The 27,923-nt window shown below is 34.1% G+C and overlaps 1 long non-coding RNA gene across 5 annotated transcripts in view, besides 1 other annotated feature; it reads left to right on the top strand.

Annotated features, from left to right (window-relative positions):
• The window catches only part of LOC105374497 (uncharacterized), a 291,527-nt gene that overhangs the window by 176,020 nt on the left and 87,584 nt on the right, over window positions 1-27,923 (top strand). The window lies entirely within an intron of this gene.
• Window positions 9,085-9,379: a silencer, noted in NCBI's record as "tiled region #3356; HepG2 Repressive DNase matched - State 9:DNaseU". NCBI's record gives its function as "represses a minimal TATA promoter and a strong SV40 promoter by Sharpr-MPRA in HepG2 cells {active_cell/tissue: HepG2}" and the evidence as "EXISTENCE:reporter gene assay evidence [ECO:0000049][PMID:27701403]".

The following is a 27,923-nucleotide window of genomic DNA, read 5'->3' as shown; positions in this document are numbered from 1 at the left end:
GCCAGCAGATATAAGGAGGAAATATATATAGTCGAATAAAGATTGGGGAGCAAGAATAGCAAGACCAGTTCCAAAGCACCTGTGTTAGATATTCTGTACCTGAAAAGAGTATCATGACTCGTTAAGAAGATGCAGCCAGATTTAACCTAAGGCAAAGGGGAGGTTATCTTTGTATTACTACCTATTCTACATTTTTACATTACTCAATAGAATGGATGTCAATCTGAGGCTAGATGTGAGGCAGTCCAAGTAAGGCCAGGCTGGCCATCAGTAGAAAATCTTTCCAAGGCTATATCCTAGGCTCAAACACTAGGGTAAGAAACATTTCTGGGTTTGGTTTTAATGCATGAAAACAAATAGACCAGAGGCCCACAGGCTTTTAAGAGAGTTGTCTATTAAAGTAGACCCAACCTGAGTTATCATCCCATTTTTGCCCAAATCATACAGGGCCGCCTTACTTTTTTAATTCATAACAAGAGGAAATGCATTCCAAAAGCAATCAACACCTAGATTTTCATATGAGTTTCTGTGCAATCAAGTCTCTCTTGTCAATTTCTGCTAAAGGATATAACTTGTCCAGGTCATTTTGATCTTCAGACTGTGACAAGTGTTTAAACATTTCCTTCTTGTTACATTTTTCTTATGGATTTGTTTCTGAAAAGTCAGTAAATTTCCATTACTTGATAACTATGAAATGGCAAACAAATTAGCAGCTCACATAATTCAATCCAGGCTGACCTTTTATTCAGTGATTTGTTCGGGGAAATACAGTATAAAGGATAATATATATTCTGCTCAAAGCAACAAGAAATGAGGGCAAATAATTTACTATATTAGTAGATTAACTATATGGAATATAACACAATAGAACAAGAGCATTCATTGTAGTATTTATGGAATATTATTCTCCGAGATGTTTAGTATTGGCAATTTTGAATATTTCAAGATAAAGCTGTATCTGTGCCTTGATTCACACATATTTTTGTCTTCTATAAGCCACATCTTTTGAATTCTTCATCTCTGATGGCTCATTTGTGAGAATTCATATAAATGAAACATTTTGCAAAGATAAAACCCTATATACAATGTCTATTGTTGTTGGAATAAAAAGAGAGCATCCAAAATAGCCTTAGTGACCTTATAGAGCAGAAAGGTAAATTAAACAAAGCATGTTTTATTTAGAAATAAAAATGCAGCCCTGAAAGATCCTATAATATAATGATATTCAATTAAAGTCATATATTGTCTTTGATTTTAACCCAGTGAATATCAATAAAAACAATTATTTAAATTGTAGCACGTTGCAACACAGCAGTATCTTTAATAAATTATTTAAAACATTGCAAAAAAACTACAATGGGCTCAGTGGCTACAATAAAATAAATTGTTGTTTCATTTTTGTTATCAGTGATACAATTTTTAAACTTTCCTTCATTTCTTCTTATTAAAATTTACTTGAGAGGTAGATTGACACAAGAAAACATCTGCTTTTTCAAATGGAGTGATAGCCTAAGCATAATTTTCCAAATAGCTCCACTGGCAGAGCCAGAACTTAGCTGCCAGTCTCCTGACTCTGGTTACAATGATTTTCCATTGACTATGCTAAATGTGATGACAGTTTACAACTCAGACCCACACTCACACATGCTGATTTAGGGGAGATTCTGCCCCTAAGACCACGTTAATCTGGTAAATTAGGAGAAGTGGCAAGTTGTCATATGGAAACCAGGTGTTTGTGCTTAGAAGAGCTATACCTCTCAGAGAATCTGTGTATGGTCCTCTGAATTTCTCTTTTAGCCATGAATTGCATACATTCATTAATCAAGGGAAAAGAGGATATTGGATTGTGGAGAACAGAGGACACAGCTCTGATGAAGATATAAAACTTCTGACTCGGAAAGGGATCTCAAAGCTGTAAGCTAATACAAGTCATGTTTGTAAGAATAAAGTCTCTGTGTTAAGTGGTATGACTTACCAGGCCAAAGGCAAGTATTTTCCACTTAAGTAGGCATGACCCTTCTGAGTTTATTGGTTGCAGGGAATCTGCAACAGATGAGCCTTTGGAATTTTTTAGGCTATTGGTTTCTTGGAAAAACATTAAGTACTTTTTAACATTAATTTTCCAAATTTTCTGGTAAACTCTATTTGAGAAGCTCAGAATATTGCAGGTGAGAAGTCATCCCCAGTTTGCAGAAAGGAAATCAGAGGCCCTGCCACATATATTGTGATGGTAAATTTTATGTGTCAAATTAACTGGGACACAAAGTGCCCAGATATTTGGTCAAATATTTTTAGGGTATTTTTATGAGGGTGTTTTTGATGAGACTTAGTATTCAAGTCTGTAGACTGAGTAAAGAAAATTGCCCTCCATAATGTAAGTGGTCCTCAACTAATCAATTAAATACCCGAACAGAACAGAAAGAGTAACACAAGAGTAAGACAACTCCCAAGAGTAAGACAGAGTTCTTTTTCCCTGACTGCTTTCAAACTGGGACATCAGCTTTTTCCTGTCTTCAGACTCAAATTGAAGTCCTGGGCCTTGATCCTGCCAGCCTCTGGGCTGGAACTATACCATTGGCTCACCTGTGTTACCAGTTTGCTGACTCATACTACAGATCTTGGGACCTTTCAGCCTCCATAATCTCATGAGCCAATTCTGTATAATAGTGCTTTTTTTTTTTTTCTGACTGCAACATTCTTATCATTATTATTATATAATATAGGTATTTGCTAATTCATGATACTAGAACAGGGATATTGAATGGGGCTATACTCAGTTGACAATGAAAACATATACACAATTACTAAACCTGCAATTATACCATGAATAGAAAGCTAATGAACCTACTCAGAAAGATTTTACACAAGTAAAATATGATTTTCTGATCCTGGTCCTACCCTCACTTGTCACTTAGGAAATATTTGAGGAATCCACCACTTTTAACTTTTAAACATTCCTTTGAGTAATCGTTGCAGAATAATTAAGAATTACAAAAAACTTAGAAAAAGACGTGGGTTTTTGTATTTTTTGTTGTTTTGTTTTTCATTTGTTTCTGAGAATACATAGAAGAAGCACATGAAGGAGAAGGAAGTGTATAATGAAAGAACAGACACTATGGAGAGCCAGTTAATACAACTGGCTTCCTGCAAATCAAAGAAAAAGAGTGAATAGGAAAGAATACAGTGCTAATGTCTAAGAAGCTACAAGAAAACCTGCACAAGATAGAGCTTGCTTACAAGAAAGGGACAATTTCAATACAAGATTGTTATACAGATTTATTCTACAATCTACATTTTCTCCCATTCTGTAGGTTGCCTGTTCACTCTGATGATGATTTCTTTTGCTATGCAGAAGCTTTTTAGTTTAATTAGATCCCATTTGTCAGTTTTGGCTTTTGTTGCCATTGCTTTTGGTGTTTTAGTCATGAAGTCTTTGCCCATGCCTATATCCTGAATGGTATTGCCTAGGTATTCTAGGGTTTTTATGGTTTTAGGTTCTGTGTTTAAGTCTTTAATGTATCTTGAATTAATTTTTGCGTAAGGTTTAAGGAAGGGGTCCAAATTCATACTATATCATTTCTATAATATCATCTTCAAATGGGTGGGAGAAGCTCAAGTCCAGCCATAAATGTCAACACTTGTATCTTTCTTAAAGTGTAAAGATTTATGGAGTACTATTTGTATAACATTTAACAATTAAATGCAGTTCAATAATTGAGATCTAGGTTATTACCACAATACTCCACAAGGGAAATTTCGTTGAAAACAAAGAAATGAGAGTACTAAGTCTGTAACTTCAATAGCTTTGATTTTTTTTTTATTGAATTAACTTTCAGTGACCGTTTCCAAATTAAAACAATTATTGTTTCTGACTGGGACATAAGTTTATTATCATATAAATGACTGGTACTTCTAGATAGTAACTTGAGACATGAAAATTACCTGGATGCAAACACATGGATTTTGTCTAACTTTAGGTTATTTCAGAGCAGACAATATATCTGTAATTCATCAAGCCATAGTTTCCTCTTCCTTATTTCTTACACTGCCTATAATTTAGAATGTACTTGAGTATCCATATTCCCATCAGTCCAGGGAATGACAAGGAAGGAATACAAGAATGCTGATGCGAAAGTATAATTGGGTATGTTTGCCTGTCTGAATAATGAAAGTGAAAGCAACTGGTGGAAGAATGTGGTAGATATTAGTAAAAATAAGGCTAAAAGTGGAAGTTCATATGTTTTCTATTATCCTTTCTTTTTTTATTTATTTATATTTATTTATTTATTTATTTATTTGTTTATTTATTTATTTATTTATTTTTTGAGACGGAGTCTCGCTCTGTCGCCCAGGGTGGAGTGCGGTGGCGCGATCTCCACTCACTGCAAGCTCCGCCTCCCAGGTTCACGCCATTCTCCTGTCTCAGCCTCCAGGGTAGCTGGGACTACAGGCGCCCGCCACCACGCCCGGCTACTTTTTTGTATTTTTAGTAGAGACAGGGTTTCACCGTGTTAGCCCGGATGGTCTGGATCTCCTGACCTCGTGATCCACCCACCTCGGCCTCCCAAAGTGCTAGGATTACAGGCGTGAGCCACCACGCCTGGCCTCTATTATCCTTTCTTAAGTAACCTTTAATAAAATAAGCAAATGCTCTACTTATTATCCCAGAGGTTAAACTGGATCATAAAAATGTTGTGTTTATCTGCTTCACATTGTAGGTTTAAATAAAGGGGAAAAAATTAAGGACGAGATGTTTGTATGAACACACTGAAAGATCATTTCTTTCAAAATTATATCAGAATATTCACAGCATAAAACCAGTAATTCCTTCTAGCAACAAAAAATGGAATTTATAACAAACTTTAAAAATGTCATTCATGATAGGTCCTAGTAAGAGCAAATAATTATAAAATAAGGCTTCTCTGAGTGTAACATTTCAGAATGTCAGATCCTAAGGGGAAATATAATTTATTTCAAATTTAAATAGAAATTAACCTCAAATATCCTTATATATTTGATCAATTCAAATTTTTGCTTGTTTTAACAAAATCACCTGTTTAGATTATCCTTTTATTATTTTCACTATTTTTGATGTTGATAAAATAACTTGCTGTAATGATCAATTTTTCATATTAATAGAGAGGTTAACTGTGATAAATATATGTAATTATTTCTGAAAGGGTATTTTTTACTCAAAGAAAATATTTTTTAGGCTTGGTAATAACATAATTACACTAACGTACTTTAGATACACTTCTTTTCATGATGCATTGAATTTTGACCAAATAAATTATTTTTACTTTTTTGGATCACTGTTCCCTCATAAACCTGATAATGCATATATATTTGTATATGTAAATATATATGTATATAAGATATATATCTGCCAGTAAGTGCACATCTGGCATATATACCATTGATAGAGGGGAGGTAAATGAAATAAACTGCTTAGACCTCAGATTTAGAGTTGATTTGAAGTCAAATCTGTTCTCTAATGTTAATTGTAAAATATAGTCACTGCCATTCTTATTTGATAGTTTATTTAGATGTACTCAATAGTCTATAACAACTTATTCAAAATGATTGAAGAGCTGATTATTAAATTGATAAATTTCCTAGAACAAAAATATAACAAAGATTTTCCAAGCCAAACTCTTATCAGAAAGATAGACATAAATAACATTTTACAATGATTAATATGAAAATGGTCCACTGGTGTATTTATATTATTTTGCTCTAGGAGTGTAACAAAATTCTTAAGTAAAGTAAATACATACTTGAGTCATTTTTACTTTCTTAAAATATAAAGCTTTTTCACTCATCTTGCAAAAGGGTGAAAATGTTTCCACACGAATGGAAAAAAAAAATCACCAATATAGATGTGGTTACAATTTAGAGTTTCATTAATTATTAGGTATTCTGGTCTCAAAAGGCTTGTATTATGAAGAGGCAAAGACCCACAAGCATTCAGGAATACATACACCATCACCCACACACAGGCACATACGAACACGCATGCATACACACGCACATACTTAAGTGCTTGGTTAGCTGATTTTTCTCTAATAGTTTATAATTACAACATTTACCATTGGTTTCAGAGTGATACATGCTAGAGTAAAATCCTGCTAGAATAAAATCTAATTACTAAATGGCAAGGTGCTCTTTCTCATCTGTTTCCTTCCCTGTAAAATAGCTTTCCTCACCTATCATAAGACTTTATGACTAACAGGACTTTTCTGAAGAATAAACAATTAGTCATTTTAAGTGTCTATTCCAGTGCCTGGAACATAGTAAGTATTCAAAATGTTAATTATGAATGTTGCTGTAACTATACTGTGATATTATTTTTATCACCATCATCACCGTCATCATTTAGTGGACTCTAAGTTATTCCAAAACTTTTCTGAGGAAATAGAAGAGAGTAAGACACAGATATACAGATGAAAGTAAGTACAGATCTATGTAAATATACAGGCACATACAGCACACAATTCTCAGAATTTGGTCCTGGGACATCTGGACATCTTGGGGCCTCCAAGATCCTCTCAGGGAGTTTGTAATGTCAAACTGTTTTTATCATAGTACTAAGATTTTTTTGCCTTTTTCACTCTTATTTTCTCACAGACGTAGAGTGAAATTTCTGAGGCCAGTAGGCAGAAGCAGATATGGGAATCCATGTGCCCTCTATTAAGAAAGACATTAAACAGATTTGCAAAATGCATAACAATGCCATTATTCTCACTAAATTGTTACTTGCTTTGGAAAATATAATTACTTTTATAAAAAATGTTACTAATGAAAATATGCAATGGCTTCTTGTTGTTTTAAATGATGTAAATATGTTAAATATTTCTCAGTTTTAATTTCAAATAACTATCACTAGATAAAATCCACAAAAACAAAATAACTTCAGTGCCCTACATGTAAACGTGTCTTGAACTAAGAAGATTAGGAAAGCCTGCTCTAAAGATTGTTTTGCAATTTGTTTTCCATTATTTAACCATCTACTAGGAACATTTATCCATGTAATGACAATATATCTGCATCTATAATTCCATTTCTATATGGCTGAGTAATATCCCATTTTTTAAATGTACCCAATTCATTTAACCTGAGAGGAGCTAATTCTTTAACAGGGAAGAAGACCAAATGCTAGAGTGTGTTTCCTTTGGGAAGGGAGGAGAGCTTGCTTAATTATAAGGCTAAGTTTTTCAACAGGACTTCTGTTAAATGTGCTGCTTGTTTGTTTTGTTTTCTTTTGTTTAAAATTTTATTACTGTGTCAATCTGCTGAGCATATTTGATAACTATAAAATCAGGCAAGGAAAATAGCAGACCAGTCATTAATGATACATGTTCTTATCAGCTCTAACAGAATGCCTATAATAATCATAGCTATGGGGAAATAAACCAGTAGGAAATACCAAACATAATTGCTCCCAAGTCCATGAGCACCTAATCACTGAACATTTAATCAGTAGCAAGGAGAGTTACTTTATGTTTCACTAAACTTACGAGATGAATGTAAACCAGTGAATCCAAATTACAGCTAGATTATGAGTGTTATTCAGTGATGCTGACTTTAATCTAGAGATCCCCAAGTCTTTTGAGATCTGTTTTTTCACACTAAAGGAATAACTAAAATATTAGGTCTGAGTGTGTTATCCAGATTTGGCTGAGATTAGGTCATGCTCAGAATATCAGGGTCTCAGTGTCAGTGATCAACACAATAACAGCCAAATGTTATGGAGAGAAAACAACTCTATGTCAGTAATTTAAATTCCAACTTGACTTTAAAGGTAATATCTTTATTATGTTTGCATTAGTTTGTTATTGCTGCCCTAACAAATTACCACAAACATAATGGCTTAAAATAACACCAAGTTAATCTGTTACAGTTCTAGAGTTTAATATTCTAAAATCGAGATGGTAGAATGGCTGTGTCACTTCTAGAGACTTCAGGGGATAAGGTTTTCTTGCCTTTCCTACTTTTCAGGGGCCACCAAATTATTTGACACTAGTTTGACACTTTTTCAGATAAGGACTTTTGTGATTTTTATTGCACCCATCTGATAATCCTGGATAATCTCCCCATTTGAAGACTTTTTACTTCACATCTGGAAAGTCCCTTTTACCATATTCATTTACTATTCCAAGTGACATATTCACTGGTCTGGTGATTAGAATGTGGATATCTTTGGGAGTAGTGAAGAAGCATGATTCTATCTACCACAGCACTTAATGCTTAATAGGTAATTTTTATGGAAAAAGGTTATCAATAATTAAGTATCTCAGTGTTTAAAATCCCTACCATGAATTCTCTTAAATAATTTTCCAAGTGATAGGGAGTGTCTCATACCTTTAATCCTAACGACTCGGAGGCCAAGGTGGGAGGATCACATCAGGCCAGGACTTTGAGACTAGCCTGGACAACATAGCAAGACGGTCATCTCTAAGAAAATGTTTTAAAAAAATCTTAGCTAGTTTCAGCTACTTGGGAGGCTGAAGCAGGAGAATTCCTTAAGCCCAGGAGTTCAAGGATGCAGTGAGGTATGATCACACCCCTGCACTCCAGCCTGGACAAGGGAGAAAGAACCCATCTCTAAAAAAAGAAAAAACAAATCCCAAACTACCTATGAATATCAAATTGTATTTTTTTAACTGAACTACAATAAAATGTGCTAGTTAATCAGGAATACTAGTTGATTTGCCAAAATATAGTTATCTGCAGCAAATTTTGTTTTTGAGTTTTGTCTGTTTTGTTGACATTTGCATTCATTTTTCAAACATGTATTTGTCAATCAGTTACCACAGGAAAATTACCATTACCAAAGAATGGTATAACACATATTCTTTTCACCAAAGAAAAGTACAGTGTTTTGTGAGGGAGAAGTTATCTATGTTTGGAGGCATGTACACAGATAAATACCATCATAAGCCATTATACAACAAGAAATTTAAAAGGAAGTGTCCAATAAATGAGGAATAAGCAGTACAGGAATTACATTCTGAAGTTCAGATAAGAGAGAAATCTGTTCCTGGGAAATTTTTATGAAAGTTCTGTGGCAGCAACTAGGGACTTGGTAACAATTGGGCATGGGAGCACAGAGGAGACCTGTGCTCCTCTGTGTTGATTTAACTGTTGAAGTTTAGGGCTAAGCATAGTGGAGTATCTTTTGGGTCTTAGCTATTGTGTGTTCAGAAGTATTAAAGCCACTTTCGTAGTTTATTTTATATCAGCTGGAGTTTTCTACAACTCAGGTGAATTTTAGCTTTATTGGGGGGGGGGGCAGTTTGGGAGCAGGAAGAATACATTCCAGGTGCAGGTAAACACAGAGAGGAAGAGGGATGTTTGTGAGATAATAGATCTCTTAACTGAGCTGGATGATTCAAAATAATGTTCAGAAATAAAGTTTAACCAATAAGTTTTGGCTAGATTAGAAAATATCTTGAATGACAGGTACAAGAGTTTGAATACTATGATTTAGACAAAGTCCTAACAATACAGATTTTAAAAAATTAAGTAATTGAAAAAGCAATAAAGTAATAGTTAGGCCCTTTGGTTTTTACTAGGTGAGTCTGTCTGGCTATGGCTTTTGTTCTTTTTTCTGTCTCAATATTTCTAATTAGAAAAACAAAGACAAAACAAAACAAAACAATTTGCCAATTTTATTTTCATATTGGTTTGAGAATGATATGAGATCATTCATGTAAAAATGTTTAACAATTGTAAAGCAGCATGGAATGAAAGGCCCCACTTAAGTATTAAGTTGCTTATGCCCTAACACAAGCAAATGCTTTATTTGTTCCAAAAACCATTGATAGAGATGCCTTTTAGTATAGAACAACCACCTTTCAGCCCTAAGGAAAACGTGAGTAAGTACATAATAATAAAAAGGAGGAGAAAGAGAGAGAGTACACATGCTCATTTATTTTTTTCTTTTTATAGTGCTGTGAAAACAATTTTATCTCTAAGTTTGAGAACAAAAACAGGATAAAGATATTCTAATGAACTAGACCTTTACAGTGAGTTCTCATGATTTGATTCAGGTCTCACGAATTTGGTATCATCATTGAAAATACTTTTAATGTCAAATATACATCCTTCAAATATCTTCAGATCTGTATTTTCTTGTCTTTTCTTTTCTCCGTTAGAAGGGATACTGAAGAATGGAATCTACTATATGCAAACATTAGTTGAGGTATTTCAACTAATTCACTAGTTTCAAGAGGTGACATTCTGAGTTCATGACTACTAAATTTGTAGTGCTGATCTTGTGAGAACCCTTGAGTGGAAATGTTTCTTCATTAAGAAAAAGAATGTGATCAGCGCAGTGGAATGTAAATTTCATAGGCTCAAGGGTTTCCTTGCAGTGTTTTAATAGAGCTTGACTTTATGGTTCTCTTAGTTTAAGAATTTATCAGGCATCAACAATAGTTCCAGGAATTTCTAATAAGCATATAAACAGATAAGAAAATATTAACAAGGTGCAAGAGACTGCCGTTAGTTTAGATTTTTGAAGCCATCTAAAGTGCAATAGTATTAAACTAGGCATGCTTGAAATTTCTGAGTAATAAAAAGGACCTCAAGATTGCTCTCTAATTTTATTTCTACTCCCGTCTCTAACCCATGACCAATCTTAGCCACCATTAGAACCACTTACACATATCATATCCACTGTGAGAACAGGATCCTTTCCTCTGGGAGCATTAGAAAATACCGTCTGCTATAGGGCACTTTTCCACTCCAAATTACATTGTTTCTCTGCTTCTTTGTTTGTTTTTCCAAAATAATAGACTGAATACTTTCCATGGTTTTCCCTAAAGGTATTTCCCAATCTTGATTCAAATTCTGCTCCTTAGTACTTTGATTCTAGCTGGGACATGAGACATTTAACATTATTGAGTGTATCAGACAAGATAAGGCATTTGAAAGTAATTTGAGAACTAATTGCCACTGTAAGTCATTTCAATTTGTAAAGATATTGGTAATAGTCTAGTGTGGAAAAGCATTTTATCCATTCTCAATATAAACACACACACACACACATGCACGAGAAAACAAGAGGGCAAGAAAGGGAGCAAGAAAAGGCGATAGAATAAAAAGCGCCCTTTATAATTAGTTTATTTTATTTCATTTTATTTTATTATACTTTAAGTTTTAGGGTACATGTGCACAATGTGCAGGTTAGTTACATATGTATGCATGTGCCATGCTGGTGTGCTGCACTCATTAACTCGTCATTTAGCATTAGGTATATCTCCTAAAGCTATCCCTCCCCACTCCCCGCACCCCACAACAGTCCCCAGAGTGTGATGTTCCCCTTCCTGTGTCCATGTGTTCTCATTGTTCAATTCCCACCTATGAGTGAGAATATGCGGTGTTTGCTTTTTTGTTCTTGCGATAGTTTACTGAGAATGATGATTTCCAATTTAATCCATGTCCCTACAAAGGACATGAACTCATCATTTTTTATGGCTGCATAGTATTCCATGGTGTATATGTGCCACATTTTCTTAATACAGTCTATCATTGTTAGACATTTGGATTGGTTCCAGGTCTTTGCTATTGTGAATAATGCCACAATAAACATATGTGTGCATGTGTCTTTATAGCAGCATGATTTATAATCCTTTGGGTATATACCCAGTAATGGGATGGCTGGGTCAAATGGTATTTCTAGTTCTAGATCCCCAAGGAATCGCCACACTGACTTCCACAATGGTTGAACTATTTATAGTCCCACCAACAGTGTAAAAGTGTTCCTATTTATCCACATCCTCTCCAGCACCTGTTGTTTCCTAACTTTTTAATGATTGCCATTCTAACTGGTGTGAGATGGTATCTCATTGTGGTTTTGATTTGCATTTCTCTGATAGCCAGTGATGGTGAGCATTTTTTCATGTGTTTTTTGGCTGCATAAATGTCTTCTTTTGAGAAGTGTCTGTTCATATCCTTCGCCCACTTTTTGATGGGGTTGTTTGTTTTTTTCTTGTAAATTTGTTTGAGTTCATTGTAGATTCTGGATATTAGCCCTTTGTCAGATGGGCAGATTGCAAAAATTTTCTCCCATTTTGCAGGTTGCCTGTTCACTCTGATGGCAGTTTCTTTTGCTGTGCAGAAGCTCTTTAGTTTAACTAGATCCCATTTGTCAATTTTGGCTTTTGTTGCCATTGCTTTTGGTGTTTTAGACATGAAGTCCTCGCCCATGCCTATGTCCTGAATGGTAATGCCTAGGTTTTCTTCTCGGGTTTTTCTGGTTTTAGGTCTAACATTTAAGTCTTTAATCCATCTTGAATTAATTTTTGTATAAGGTGTAAGGAAGGGATCCAGTTTCAGCTTTCTACATATGGCTAGCCAGTTTTCCCAGCACCATTTATTAAATAGGGAATCTTTCCCCATTGCTTGTTTTTCTCAGGTTTGTCAAAGATCTGATAGTTGTAGATACGCGGTGTTATTTCTGAGGCTCTGTTCTGTTCCATTGATCTATATCTCTGTTTTGGTACCATTACCATGCTGTTTTGGTTACTGTAGCCTTGTAGCATAGTTTGAAGTCAGGTAGCATGATGCCTCCAGCTTTGTTCTTTTGGCTTAGGATTGACTTGGCGATGCGGGCTCTTTTTTGCTTCCATATGAACTGTAAAATAGTTTTTTCCAATTCTGTGAAGAAAGTCATTGGTAGCTTGATGGGGATGGCATTGAATCTATAAATTACCTTGGGCAGCATGGCCATTTTCACGATATTGATTCTTCCTACCCATGAGCATGGAATGTTCTTCCATTTGTTTGTATCCTCTTTTATTTCCTTGAGCAGTGGTTTATAGTTCTCCTTGAAGAGGTCCTTCACGTCCCTTGTAAATTGGATTCCTAGGTATTTTATTCTCTTTGAAGCAATTGTGAATGGGAGTTCACTCGTGATTTGGTTCTCTGTTTGTCTGTTATTGGTGTATAAGAAAGCTTGTGATTTTTGTACATTGATTTTGTATCCTCAGACTTTGCTGAAGTTGCTTATCAGCTTAAGGAGATTTTGGGCTGAGAGGATGGGGCTTTCTAGATACACAATCATGTCATCTACAAAAAGGGACAATTTGATTTCCTCTTTTCCTAATTGAATACCCTTTATTTCCTTCTCCTGCCTGATTGCCCTGGCCAGAACTTCCAACACTATGTTGAATAGGAGTGGTGAGAGAGGGCATCCCTGTCTTGTGCCAGTTTTCAAAGGGAATGCTTCCAGTTTTTGCCCATTCAGTATGATATAATTAGTTCTTAAAAGTGCTTTGTTTACGTTGAAGTTTAAAAATCAAAAAGCAAAAGGTTCAAGTTCTGTGTCTTAGCTACCTCATCCATAAATTAAGGCGTAAAAGTTTTAAGAAATTGTCAAAATAATCAAGATAAAAATAATGAGATGATGCCTTAAGGTAAAATAATGCTATCTGTAATATACATCATTATCATTTGTTATTATTAAATATGTATTTTTGGTGAAAATATTCTTCATTAGAAGCCAACTTGACACAACAGACTAGTCACTGTGCATTCCATAAAGCATGATAACATAAAATTATTTGTCTAGTAGGTTGTATTTGTGATATTTTAGAATCTCTTCCCCTAAAGGATAGTAGAACAGGTGGAAACCTAGAAAATAATTTATCATTCCTCTCTGAAAGTGTCTATTCCAGTAAGTAACCCAAAAGGCTTTCCTTAATGTCCTAACATTTTTTAAATTTTAAAAAAATTAGTACAATTTTTATATATTTAATGTTAACAACATGAGACTATAGCCAAGCAAATTAACATATTTATCTCCTCACATGTTACGTGTGTGTGTGTTTATGTGTGTGTGTGTGTGTGTGTGTGTGTGTGAGGTGAGAACACGTGAAATCTATTCACTTAGCAAATTTCCAGTATATTATACGGTATTGTTAACGTTAACTATACTAATTATGCAGCACATGGGTTCCCTAGATTTATTCATCCTACTTAACTGTAACTTTGTACCCTTTGACCAACATCTCTTTTCTTCCATTTTCCCAACCCTGGTAACCACTGTTCTATTCTCTGCTTCTCTGTATATGACTTTTTAATATTTCACACATAAGTGAGGTCATGTAGTATTTTCCCTTCTATGTGTGACTTATTTCACTTAGCATATGTCATTCAGCCTCATCTGTGTTGTTTCAAGTCACAGGATCTCCCCTCTTTTCTATGGCTGAATAATACTCCATTGTATGCGTCTACCTCACGTATAGTTTGTCCATTCTAGCATCAAAAGTTACTTAGGTTGTTTCCATATCTTGACTATTGTAAATAATGCTGCAACAAACATGGGGGTGCAGATATCACTTTGAGGTATTGATCTCATCTTCTTTTTATATATACTCAAAAGAGGAAATGCTGGATCATATAGTAGTCCTTTTTTACGTTTTTTGTGGAACGTTCATACTGTTTTCCATACTGGCTGTACCAACTTACATTCCAATCACCTGTGTACAGGGGTTTCCTTCTCTCCGTATATCCACAAACACTTGTCATCTTTTTGTTAATAGCCAATCGTAGGTGTGAGGTGCTATCACTCACATTGTTGTTTCGATTTGTATTTCCCTGATGATTAGTGATGCTGAGCACGTTATCACATTCATGTTGGTTGCTTGTATACCTTCTTTGAATGCCTTCAATTATTTTCTTGTCTGATTGCTCTTACTAATGAATTATTAGCAAGAATTATGTTGAATAGAAGTGGTAACAGTGGGCATCTTTGCCTTGAACCAGAGAAAAGCTTTCAGCTTTTCTCCCACTGATTACAGTGTTAGCCTCATAGAATGACTTTGGAAGTGTTCTAACTACTTGTACATTTTGGAAGAGTTGAAGAAGAATTGGTATTAGTGCTTTGAATATTTGATATAATTGAGCTGTGAAGCCATCTGGTTCTGGGCTTCTGTTGTTGGGAGGTTTTTTATTTCTACTTCAATTTCCTTATTTGTTATTGGTCTGTTCAGGCTTTCTACGTCTTGATTAACTCTTAGCAAGTTGTATATTTCTAAGAATTTATTCAGTTTTTCTAGGTTACCCAATTTGTTGGCATATAATTGTTTCTATTAATCCCTCAATTTTCTTTTTTATTTTTGAGGCATCTCTTTAACATCTCCCTTTAATTTCTGTTTTTATTTTAGTGTTCTCTCTTATTTTCTTAGTTGGTCTACTAAGGGGTTGTTGATTTTGCATATTTTTTTTCAAAAAACCAATCAGTTTTATTGAATTCTTCTACCGTTTATTTGATTTATTTCTGCTGAGATCTTTATTATTTCCCTTCCGTCTGCTAGCTATATTTGTCTTCTTTTTCTAGTTCTTTGAGTTATAAAGTTCAGTAAGATCTTAATTCTTTTTTTAAAGTAGAAATGTTTTAATTTATTAATATAAACTTCCGCCTTAGTATTACTTTTGTTGCATCTGTAAGTTCTGATAAGTTGTGTTTTTGTTTTTGTTTTATCTTCGGGTTTTGTAAAATACCCTTTTGATTTTCTCTTTAACTCAGTTTGTGCAAGTGTGTTAGTTTTCATGTCTTTGTGAATTTTTCTCATTTTCTTGTAATTAATTTCTAATTTCATGTCATTGTAGCTGGAAAAGACACTTGGTATAATTGTTTAAAAAATTCAATTGATCCATTGTAATTTTACATATTAATGGATCATAATTTGATGTTTTGATACGTATGTTGTAAAGTGAGCAAATCGGAACATTTAGTATATATATCACCTCATGCATTTATCATTTCTTTGTAGTAAGAACATTGAAAAACCTTTCTTCTAGCTATCTTGTGATATATACTATCTTACTGTTAAACACTATCACTGCATTATGCAATAGAACATCAGAATTTATTTATTCTTTCTAATGTAATTTTTTACCCACTGACCAACCTCACCCCATTTTCTGCTCCCCCTGCGCATCTACCTACACTCTCTGCTATACGCTGTTCTACTCTCTTCTATCATATCTATTCTATTTTAGAAAAGATGTTCCATATTAGTGAGATCATGTGGCGTTGTCTTTCTGTTTCCGGTTAATTTCACTTAACATGATGTCCTCCAGGTTCATCCATCTTGTCACACATGACGGTGTGTGTGTGTGTGTGTGTGTGTGTGTGTGTGTGTGTGTGTGTGTACTACCATAAAGTGAAGAACAATGAAATAAGGTATGCCTGTGTAGTATACTTCTCTTTATGGTACTTCACACATATGCATTTTTTACAAATTGAATGTTTGTTGAGTAACTCTGTTAACAATATTTTTCCAGTAGCATGTGCTAACCTCATGTCTCTGTGTCAGCTTTTGGTGGTTCTTGCAATATTTCAAACTTTTTCATGATTATTATTACATCTGCTGTGATCTTTCATAAGTGATCTTTGACATTACTATTAAAATTGTTTACTGTCACCATGGATTGTGCCCATATAAAGCAACAAACTTAACCAATAAATGTTGTGTCTGTTATAACTGGTTGGTTATAACCAACCAGTTGTTGTCCTCTTTCTCCCTCTCTTTTGGCCTCCCTATTTCCTGAGATACAACAACATTTAAATCAGGGTAGGTAACAAACCTACAATTGCCTCTAAGTGTTCAAATGAAAGAAAGGGTCACATGACTCACTTTAAATCAAAAGCCAGAAATGATTAAGCTTTGTGAAGAAGGGATGTTAAAAGCCAAGACAAGCCTAAATCATTGCCTCTTGTATCAGTTAGACATGTTGTGAATGCAAAGAAAACATTATTGAAGGAAATTAAAAGTGCTATTCCGTTGAACACATGGATAATAAAACAAAACAGCCTATTGCTGCTGTGAAGTAAGTTTTAATGATCCAGATAATAATAGAAAAGCAAACCAGTCACAACATTCCCTTAAGCCAAAGCTTAATTTAGAGCAATGTCCTAAGTCTCTTCAATTCTATGAAGGCTGAAAGAGGTGAGAAAGCTGCAGAAGAAAAGTTTGAAGCTAGCAGAAGTTGGTTCATAAAGTTTAAGGAAAGACATCATCTCTATAATATAAACGTGCATGGTGAAGTAGCAAATGCTGATGTAGAAGCTGCAGGTTATCCAGATGATCTACCTAACATCATTGAAGAAGGTGGCTACACTAAACAGAATTTTAATGTAGACAAAACAAGATTACATTGAAAGAAGATGCTATCTAGGACTTTCATAACTAAAGAGGAGAAGTCAATGCCTGGCTTCAAAGGACAGGCTCACTCTCTTGTTGGGGTTAATGCAGCTGCTGACTTTAAGCTGAAGTCAATGTTTATTTACTATTCAGAAAATCTTTAAGAATTTTGCTGAATCTGCTCTCCCTGAATCTACTTGCCCTATTAATGGAATAACAAAGCCTGAATAACATCACATCTGTTTGCAGCATGGTTTACTGACTATTTCAAACCTACTATTGGGACCTACTGCTCAGTAAAATATATATACATTTTTTCTAAAATATTACTAGGTACAAATGTACCTAGTCACCCAAGACCTTTTCACCAGAGTTCTGACAAACTTGCACCACTTCATCAGAGTTCTGATGAAGATGTACAAGGAGATTAATGTGTTCATGCCTGCTAAGCCAACATTCATTCTGTAGCTTACGGATGAAGAAGTAATTTTAAATTTCGAGTCTTTTTGTAAGAAATTTTTTTAAGGCCATAGCTCCCATAAATAATGATTCCCCTGCTGAATCTAAGCAAAGTAAACTGAAAATTTTCTAGAAATAATTAACCATCTTAGACACCATTATGATTCTTGTGAGGAGGTCACAGTACCTAAACTGTGTTTTTGTCATTTGTGTAGTATATATTTTTCCATTTCTTCACTTTCAGCTTATATGTGTCCTTGAATCCACGGTGAATTTCTTATAGATAGTATGCAGTTGGATCTTGATTTTTTTGTTTATTTGTTTTTTTTCCAGTCTCTCTGTATATTGTTTTTATTGGAGAGTTCAGTTCATTTAAAGTAATTATTTGTAGGAAAAAATTTGCTATTGTCATTTTGTTAACAGTTTTCTGTTTGTCTTGTTCTTTAGTCTTTTTTTTTCTCTCTTGCCTTCTCATAATGTATTTTGATGGTTTTATGTATTGATAAATTTTGATTCCTTTCTCTTATTTTTTGTGTAACTTCTATACCTATTTTCATTCTGACTACCAAGGGACTTACCTAATTTTTTTTTTCATAATTACAACAGTCAATCTTAATATAATAACGACTTAATTTCCCTCGCATACAATAACTCTCTGCTTTTACCTTTTCTCCTACCCACATTGTATGCTACTGATGTCACAATTTATATCTATTTTATTATGTATCAATAAACATAATTTAGGTATAGTTGTTTGTAATACTTTTGCAATTTAACTTTTGTAGTAGCATTAAAATTGATTTTCCCACTATCATTATAGTAATAAAATATTATCTTTATTAAGAAAATAATAAAATATTATCTTAAAATGAAGATAATATTTACCTTTCCAGGCAAGTTTCATCCTTTCTTATATTCTGGTGTTGCTATTTAGCATCCTTTAATTTCATTAGAAATACTCCTTTTGGCCTTTCTTGTAAGGTAGGTCTAGTGGTGATAAACTCCCTCAGCTATTTTTTGTCTCAGAAAGTCATTATCTCCTCTCAATTTTTGAATCAAGATTTTTGAACAAGGTTGTCTGTGTATAGTATTCCTAACTGACATTTGCTTCCTTTTATTATTTTAAATATATCACTGTACTCCGTTCACGCCTTCAAGGTTTCTTCTGAAAAATTCTCTGGTACTCCTGTCTAGGATTCCCTTACATATAACAAGTTGCTTTTTCTTGCTGCTTTCAAAATTCTGTTCTTATTTTTGATAATTTGATTATAATGTATATCAGCGTGGGTCTCTTTGGATTTATTTTATTTGGTATTCCAGAGACTTCTGAGATCTGTATGTCTGTTTTTTCCCTAGAAATGGAAAAATTTCAGCTAGCATTTCTTTGAATTAGCTTTTAGGTAATTTCTCTTTTTATGCTCCTTACAGTAACCCCATACTTGCATATATTAGTTTGTTTGGCAGTGTTTCATAAGTTCCTTAAACTACCTTCACTGTTTTTACTGATTTTTTTTTTGTTCCTCTGATTGGTTTCCAGTGACATATCTTCAGTTTCACTCAGCCTTTGTTTTACTTGACCTAGTCTGCTGTTGAACCCACCTGTTGAACTTTTCTGTTCAGTTATTTTCTTCTTCTATTGTTAAAATTAAAACATCTGGAACCAGTCTGAGAACTTTTGTTTTTTTTTTTTTTTTTGGTCTTAGGTCCTACCCTTAATTATTTACAAATACTAAGTTATTGAGTGGGACTTATATTGTGAGTTGGGTCTAAATTATATTATGAGAAAATTATTACTTGGAATTATAATTTATGTATATGGCAGTTTATTTTTAGCACCTTGTACAGTGCCTGTACAATGTATGTTCTCAGCAAATAGTTGTTGAATAAATATATGTATTTTTTCCTTATAATATCACATTAGATCCTCAAAATAATTGAAAAAGGAAGAGAAAGAGATCTCGTTTTATACATAAAAAACTGAAAAAATATTTCTAAGTTGCCTAAGCGTTGCATAACTAGTGCAGTGAAGACAGCTTTACTTGAACTCAAGCCTGGAGTCCGACTCCAAGCTGTAGATTTTGTTTTCTTTTCTTTGTTTCAGCTGGGACCTGGTAGTATGGGGATGTTTCCTTTGTAGCAGAGCTTGGAGTTTAAAATTAAATATAATAAGTTAATACTTGCATTAAATATAATTTATATAAATTCAATTCATACAAAAAGTAGTATTCAGTTATATAATCAATTTCAGTTTTCTCTAATGAGGCACATGTAAATAATATCTGCTAATCACAATATCAGTTGTTTTTTGTTTAGTTTGTTTTGTTTTTTAAACATATTCTTCCAATCTTTTATTTTCAGTACTTATCAGTAAGTGATTATATGGTTTAAAATAATACATAAGATTAATACTCTCAGTGGATTTTTGAACCTTAGACCTAAGTTCCATATTTTCCAAAAAGTCAAACCAATGAACAGAGATGCCTTAACTTATTCACCTAAACAAAAGCAACATAAATGTCAGAGGAGAGTAATTACTTAGGGACTGAAATGTGAGAAAAGGTGATAATTTTTATGAAATTTTATTGTCTGCTTACTAGATGCAAGCCTTTATACTTTGTCTCATTTAAACCTGACAAAACTTTTATGAAGTAGGTATTTCATTTTCATCTTGCATCTGGTAAAAAGTGAAGCTTGGGGTGATATAGTGACTTGCCCGAGATGAATCAGCTATTAAATTGTAGGGCAATATTTCTCTGACATCAGAGTCTGAACTTTTAACAATATCTGTTATTGACTCTCGCTAGGCCTCTGTAAGTGTGAAATGTCAAAAAAAATCTTCTTAAAAAATTGCTAGAATTTTATGTAATCTCATTATAAACTATGTTTGTTTATTTTATAAAACAAATTGCATATTGATCCTTGAAGCTTAGAGATTGTTGACCCTGGGAGTTGTGCCATGGTAGAGAGTCTCTGTCTTCTCCCCAGTACACACCCAATATCCAGTTTGAAATTTACCTGTTTTCAACATTTCCTGTGAATATGACTTAGCTCAGCAGAAGTTTAGACAAGAGTCACACACAAAGAACACAGAATGCAAGAGAGAAGGAAAACAAAGGATCGGGTACTCTTGTGGCCTCCACGGTATGCACACCATTCACAAAATTCCTCCCATCTATTCTGTACTTGGTGGAGAGGACAAAGGGAAGAAAAGCAAAAAGAAAAAGAATGAGTGGGAAAAGAAACAGTAGGGTGTGCCTATCATCTGTCCCCAAATCAAAGACCACAAATAAAGCTTTCCTTTCCTCCCTGTATCCATATCCCTATAATATACCCTGCAACCCAAACTACGTGAAAATCATGTAGTTTTGCTTGCAGGGTATGTTGTAGAGATATGAACTACATGAAAATAATGTAGCTTGGGCTGCAGGGTATATTGGCTTACTGCATTCATTTGATTTATGATTCAGAATATAGACGAATCAAGAAACTATTCTTTTGTCTGACGTTTCTGTTGCTGCTTGAAAATTCACTTGGGACAAGCATGACTTTTGTCCATCTTTCGTGGTAGTGAATTTAGTGACATGTACAATGTAGTAAAAAGAGGATAAAAATAAGAGGAAAAACAGTTTGGTGTCTGGAGACCAAGTCCATCAGGCTCACAGTAAGAGAAGAAATCAAAAAGATTTTTGTTTTGTTTTGTTTAAAGAATTTGGCTTTGAAGATAGTAGCATTTTGCTATCAACACAGGATAAACTTCTTTGGGAAAAAAGTCTCTGTTGGTGAGCAGTTCTCAAGGTGACCTGGTAGGCTTAGAATTTAAACAAGAAATGTCAACAACACAAATGAGTGCTAAGGAGAATAATGTTGATGCTTTTTGAGAAGAGAGCACAGGGATTTAAAAATAAATAAAGTTGGAGCTTTTGATATTTGGCACAATTTTCTCAAAAAAAATTATGTGCAATTACACTTTAGACCCAAGCACTTCTCCATGGTGTGTAGGTGGATATTCAGCTCTCAAATCAGCAGCAGCAACCAAGTCAAATGGGTTTTTCCAATTCTTAGCCTGAGTAGGTGTCAGGGCTTGTTAAAGTTTCATGATGAGGGAAGGAGATTTCGTCTTTTGGCAAGAGTGTTGGGGAGAGGTTAGAAATATTAATAATCTATTGTTAAAATTAAAACAACTGAAACCAGTCTGTGAACATTTTTATAGTAATTTGCATGAGACATAAGATTCCTAAGTAACTGAGTTGTGTTTTCATCCAGCTATCTTTCAAGTAAGGTGCTGTCTCAGTTCTCATTTTACAAATAAGAAAACTGAGTCTTTAGAAGTTTGTTTTTTGTGTTTTTTTTTTTCCATGTCCAGGAATCGAACCTATATTGTTCAACACCAGATCCTAAGTTCATACCACTATAAGACATTGTCCAAAATCTGTGTTCTAAATATTTTTAATATATTAACATTGAACTATGTTTAGGAAACTCTGGATTAAGTAAAGTGCAAAATGGTTTCTTTTTTGTAAAACTTTTGCATTGTGAGTTTCCAAGAGTGTAGTATATGTTGTAGCATTACTCACATTGGTATAACTAGGGAAATATTAATTTGCTGTATGTATTATTCTGTTTTCACGCTGCTAATAAAGACATACCCAAGACTGGGTAATTTTTAAAAGAAAGAGGTTTAATTGGCTCACAGTTCCACAGGGCTGGGGAGGCCTCACAATCATGATGGAAGAGCAGGGAACATCTTACATGGCCACAAGCAAGAGAGAACTTGTGCAGGGGAATGACGCCTTATAAAACCATCAGATCCGGTGAGACTTATTCACTATCAGGAGAACAGCATGGGAAAGACCCACCCAGACCCATGATTCAGTTACCTCCCATCGGATCCCTCCCATGACAGGTGGGGATTATTACAATTCAAGGTGAGATTTGAGTGGGTACACAGAGCCAAACCATATCACTGTGTATTTTCAGGGACTGCAGTTTCTCAGAACAAATTTGGGAAATGACACAAGTGGTATTTAAGTGTCAACATTAGTTGCTTTTAGTGTCTGAAACCAAACATAAGGCAAAAGAATAGTTTCACATACAAGAGAAAGCTATAGGTTGATGCCAAAGTAATTGCAGTTTTTGCCATTACCTTTAATAGAAAAAAATCACAATTACTTTTTCACCAATATATTAAGGAATATATATATTTGGTGACCCTTCATAATCACCTTGAAATTTGCCAGATGAATTCATGAGATGGAATAGTGAATGATAAATAGCATTGACCTCAACAAGATTGCCTAGGTTCAACACTCAACTCTGCCATTTACAAGCTGTGTAATCACAGATAAATTACCAAACTTCTCTGTGCTTCCGTCAAACAGAGATGATAATAATAATATCTATGTCATAAAAGTGTTATGGAGATTATATGAGTGAATATTTCTAAAGTACAGAGAGCACTTAATAATACCTAGTAATCCCCATGTAGGAGTTTATTAATAAACTATATAAATCTAGCCTTAGTGTTCTACCATGGATTTAGAGTTTTTTAAAAAGGACCAAAAATTAATCCACTGGAAGCTTTATTTGAATAAATTAATGAATTATAACACCATGAGAAATTGATTTTCCATAGTTTTGATAGTAACTTCTCTGGACCTTTGCATAAATCTCTGGATTTGCATGCAAGCAAATGTCTAATTCTGAAAGACAGAAAGACTTGATTCTGTATCCGGTCTTTTAAGAAAGCTTGAGAAAATTACCATAACTTCTCCAAGTGATGGTTTTCTCACCTGTTAATCAGAAGAAATAATTCCTGTCTGGTCTTTAGCCATGCTTTTCAGGTAATGTATATAATGTGCTCGACCCATAGCAGCAATTTGCTGGCCTCTTGCAATACTGATAACTCAGTAATACATATTTTCCCCTAAGAAACTATACAACATAGATGTTGGTAAAAGTATACTCTAAAAACTGTAAGAATTAGGATACCAATACTAGGTGAGGTATTGAGGAAAATTAGTAAAGCTAATACTTTAATAAGTTCCTATGGAAATTTATTTATCTTTAATTATTATCTAGCTGACTATAACATTTGTGTATTGGTTTCAATTCTTCTTTTCTCTTTTGGTTAAATCTTCTGAATCTTGACCAAAGAACAAAGCTGAGACATCACACAAATTGACTGCAAAATATATTATGAAGCTATAGTAATCAAAACATTATGGTACTGGCATAAAAACAGACAGACACATTGACCAGTGGAATAGGATGGATAGCCTGGAAATAAACCCAGACATCAGAGTCAATTGATTTTTGACAAAGGTGCCAATAATATACAATGCACAGTGTCTTTAAAAATGGTGTTGGGAAAACCAGATATACATGTACAGAAGGAAAATGGATTAAATATTTAAATGCAATTCCTGAATCTATACTACAGATACTAGAAGAAAGCACAGGGGGAAATCTCCATGGTATTGGTCTGGACAATAATTTCTTGTGTGTAATCCCAAAAGCACAGGAAACAAAAGCATAAATAGACAAACATGATTCCATCAAACTAAAAAGCTTCTGCACAAAAGGACACAATTGTGTCAAGAGAAAATGCACAGATTAAGAAAAGTATAAAAATTATACATCAGATAATGGGCTCTTTTACAAAATATACAAGAAACTCAAACTAATCCAAAACAATCCTATTAAAAACGGGCAAAGAACTCAAATAGACATTTCTTAAAAGAAGACACACAAATTGCCAATAGTTATATGAAAATGTTCAACATCTCTAATCATCAGAGAAAGCAAATTAAAGTCACAAAGATATATCACCTCACACCTGTTAGTTTGGCAATTATCAAAAAGATGAAAGATGGCTAGTGTTGGTGATGATGCTGAGAAATGGGCACAGTTATGCCCTCTTGGTGGTATTGTAATTTAGTGCAGCCATTTTGGGAAACAGCATGAATCTTTATTAAATAACAAAAAATAGAATTACCATGTGATCCAACAATTCCGCTACAAAATATATACCCAAAAGAATTCAAATCAGTATGTTGAAGTGATGTCGATACTCCCAAGTTCATTGCAGCACTATTCACAATAGCCAATTCATGGCAACAACCTGTGTCTATCATTAGATAAAAATCAATGGATTTTTTTAAAAGTGGCAAGATATACATAATGGAATACTATTCAGCCTTAAAAGAAACAGGAAAATATGTCATTTGCACTTAACATTTATGTTAAGTGAAATAAGTCAAGCACAGAGAAACAAATACTGTATGATCTCACTTCTAAGTGGAGTCTAAAAAAGTCAAACTCTTGGAAATAGAAAATAGAATTGTGGTTACCAGAGGTTGTGGGGTAGGTAAGTGGATGGGGAAGGGGGAAATGGTCAATTGGTATAAAGTTTCAGTTAGAAGGAATAAATTCTGGTGTTTCATTGCACAGCATATTGACAATGTATCCACAACAATACATCAAAACATCACATATTGTCTCATAAAATTATTCAATTATTATTTGCCAATTAGAAATGAAACATAACTTAAAAATTCTCCCAAGGACAGTAATGATTATGTGCTATGAACCAAGGAAGAGAATTAACTCCATTTTCTGCACTTGGCATCCAGTATAAAAGGGAAAATAAATCCACTTGAATGTCTCCCTGGCATCTCAAAGAGAAATTTCAATTTAATTAGACTCCTTATCTTTCCACCCTTCATTTCTACTTAAGTTAATGTCTATACATGTTTTTCAAACTTTGCTGATGGTTTCTCACTGTAAGAAACACATATAAACATTACATGTACGTATGTACAACTGAACCAAATGTTTCTCAAAACACCTTGTCCCTTAGTATTTGTGATTTATTTTTCCTATTTTCTAGTCTTTTTCATTTTAAAATACTGGTTGTGACCCGTTGAATTGGTTTCCTATCCCATGGATGGGTAGCAACCTGAAATCTGAAACTCTCTGGGCTGCACTCTAAATAGCAGTCAACTTAGACAGGCTGCCTCAGGGGATCTTCAGGTGCTGCATGTAGCTGCCCTGAAATCCTCATTTCTGCCTCTGTAATATTTCCTAAACGCAGCCTACTCTCCAGCCCTCATCTCTCCTCTAGAAGATTTCAGTAATGGATAATAATTATAAAAGCAGACAGTGTTTTTTTAAAGCTCCCTTAGTTTTTGTCTGCTAACAGCTAGTAAAACTTTTAGCTGGATTATTGATATTTTAAAATAGCTGAACTAACAAAATTACTTAATTTTAAGAGTTGTTTAAGATAAGCAAATGCTAATTTTGAATGCTTTTGCACTGTCTCTAATTTTCTACTTAATTCAAATTAAATTTTAACTCTCTCTGAAGAAGATAACGTATTGTTAGCTTACTTCAAGTCCCATTATTGTGTGTTGCCCAATGTGATGAATTTTGTATGTGATGAAGTGGGGGTTCTTTGCACCATAGTGCCATGTCTTACTTGTCCACTGATTGCTCTCAACTCTAGAGGTCAGGATTCAGAATTACTCTAGAGTATCTCGATCATTAGGTAGCATGGTATATGCAAAGGAAATTGGCCTGCAAGTTCGAAGACTGGGCTCTGTTTTTGCCAGTTTAGTGCTTTTCTCTAGGTGGTAATTCTTCCTCTGCCAGGGAGGAAGCTGGGCTAAATGTCTGCAAGGTACCTTAGGTCAATTTAACACCTACTTTAATTTAAAAACTGAACTCTCCCTTCCTTTAAAGCCGGCCATGTTTTTAAGAAAGTGTTATAAAAATATTTTATCTTATTGAGAGACACTTTATTATTTCATAGCTAATTCCAAACACCTAAATGTGGGGAATTTTATTTTAGATAGTTACATGAGTTTGCTGTGTACCTCATTCGGGTGATCTAATGAGTAGGCTGGGAGACTCCGCAATAAAGGTAAATGTGCAAACTCAGATAATTTATAAGCGTTCCACATGTTAAACAAAATTCTGGCCAGATCACATTTGCAACAGATGGCCTCTAATTAACAACGTTTCTTTCCCCTGTTCACAAGTAGTTAGATCAATCAATTTCTCACAAGGTAACTTTATTTATTCTAATAACAAAAAAGCCATTACTTTGTTGAAACACACAAATGTGCTGTGGCTAGATTTTTGGAATTATATCCTAAGTTGCATATGTAGTCTATTAAGTTTATGAAATCAAAGTCTTATAAATACTAATCAATAATTTTATCTCGACAAATGTATATAACAGCCTCTTATTTTAAGATTTCTAACCCAGAGAGGATTTCTTGTGTGGCATATAATCACTAGTTAATGATTTGACTCTGATTCCTGATGATCTCAGAACTATAACTTCCAGCTCCATCGTGTTCTGTTTCAATCTCGAGACACTGTCTTGCTCCAACCACTCACTTGGTGAGAGAGTGCCTTTTCAGTTGGTCATGAGAGAAATGGATAAAGGGATAAAGATAAATGAAAACAAACTTATTATCTAGAAACAAATCTCTGCATATATTAAGCTCTAAGGTTCTGACATAAAATAGTAATTAAAATTATAGTTGAGTAGTTGCCAGTTAAACATACATATATCTAAATTATATGTATATATAACATTAAAAGTGATTATTTTCCTATCAACATTTAACTTTTATTACTAATATAAATTTATCGACTACAAATATTACTGATATACTTTCTGACACAATAATTATTTGTTCTCATCAATAAGTTGGTAGCCTAATCTCATACATAGGAATTAACGTTCTGTGTCACCAGTGTTTACCATATCACATGGAGGTTCTTCAGACATTTACTAAATGTATAGACATACACTAAGATGTTTTCAAACAGTGCTATGGGAACTCAGTGTTCCATTGAGGTGTTAGTCCTAATTGTTAACATAATAATCAAAATGTTTAAAACCCACTATCCTACATGTTTTGTACCTTTGTTTCCATCAACTAGTAAGCTACACGCTTCTCTTTTTCCTGTATTTTCATTTCCATATTCTCATTCACTAGTTAACCTACCCATGGAATCCTGATTTTTCTCAATTTTCCTCTTTCTCCAACAGTCACACTGGTTGCTCTCAGGTACCTTTGGCCATCTTTGGTAACTCATATTCTTACACTTACACACATACTCCTACACATATTTGTGAGTCTCCATTCTCTTGCATAATGCTGCCAGGTAGCATCCTCCTTTTTTGATATTTGTGTTGCAGGTTGCAACTGAGGCCAGTATTGTATGAGCAGTAAAATGAATTTACAAAGACAGTTGTAGGTAAAGAAAGGCAGTTTCATTAGAGACAGTATGAAA

The sequence above is a fragment of the Homo sapiens genome, chromosome 2 (assembly GCF_000001405.40).
Source record: "Homo sapiens chromosome 2, GRCh38.p14 Primary Assembly".
Classification (NCBI taxonomy): Eukaryota; Metazoa; Chordata; class Mammalia; order Primates; family Hominidae; genus Homo; species Homo sapiens.
The sequence above is the reverse complement of the archived record's forward strand: the minus strand, read 5'-3'. Positions and strand labels throughout refer to the sequence as shown.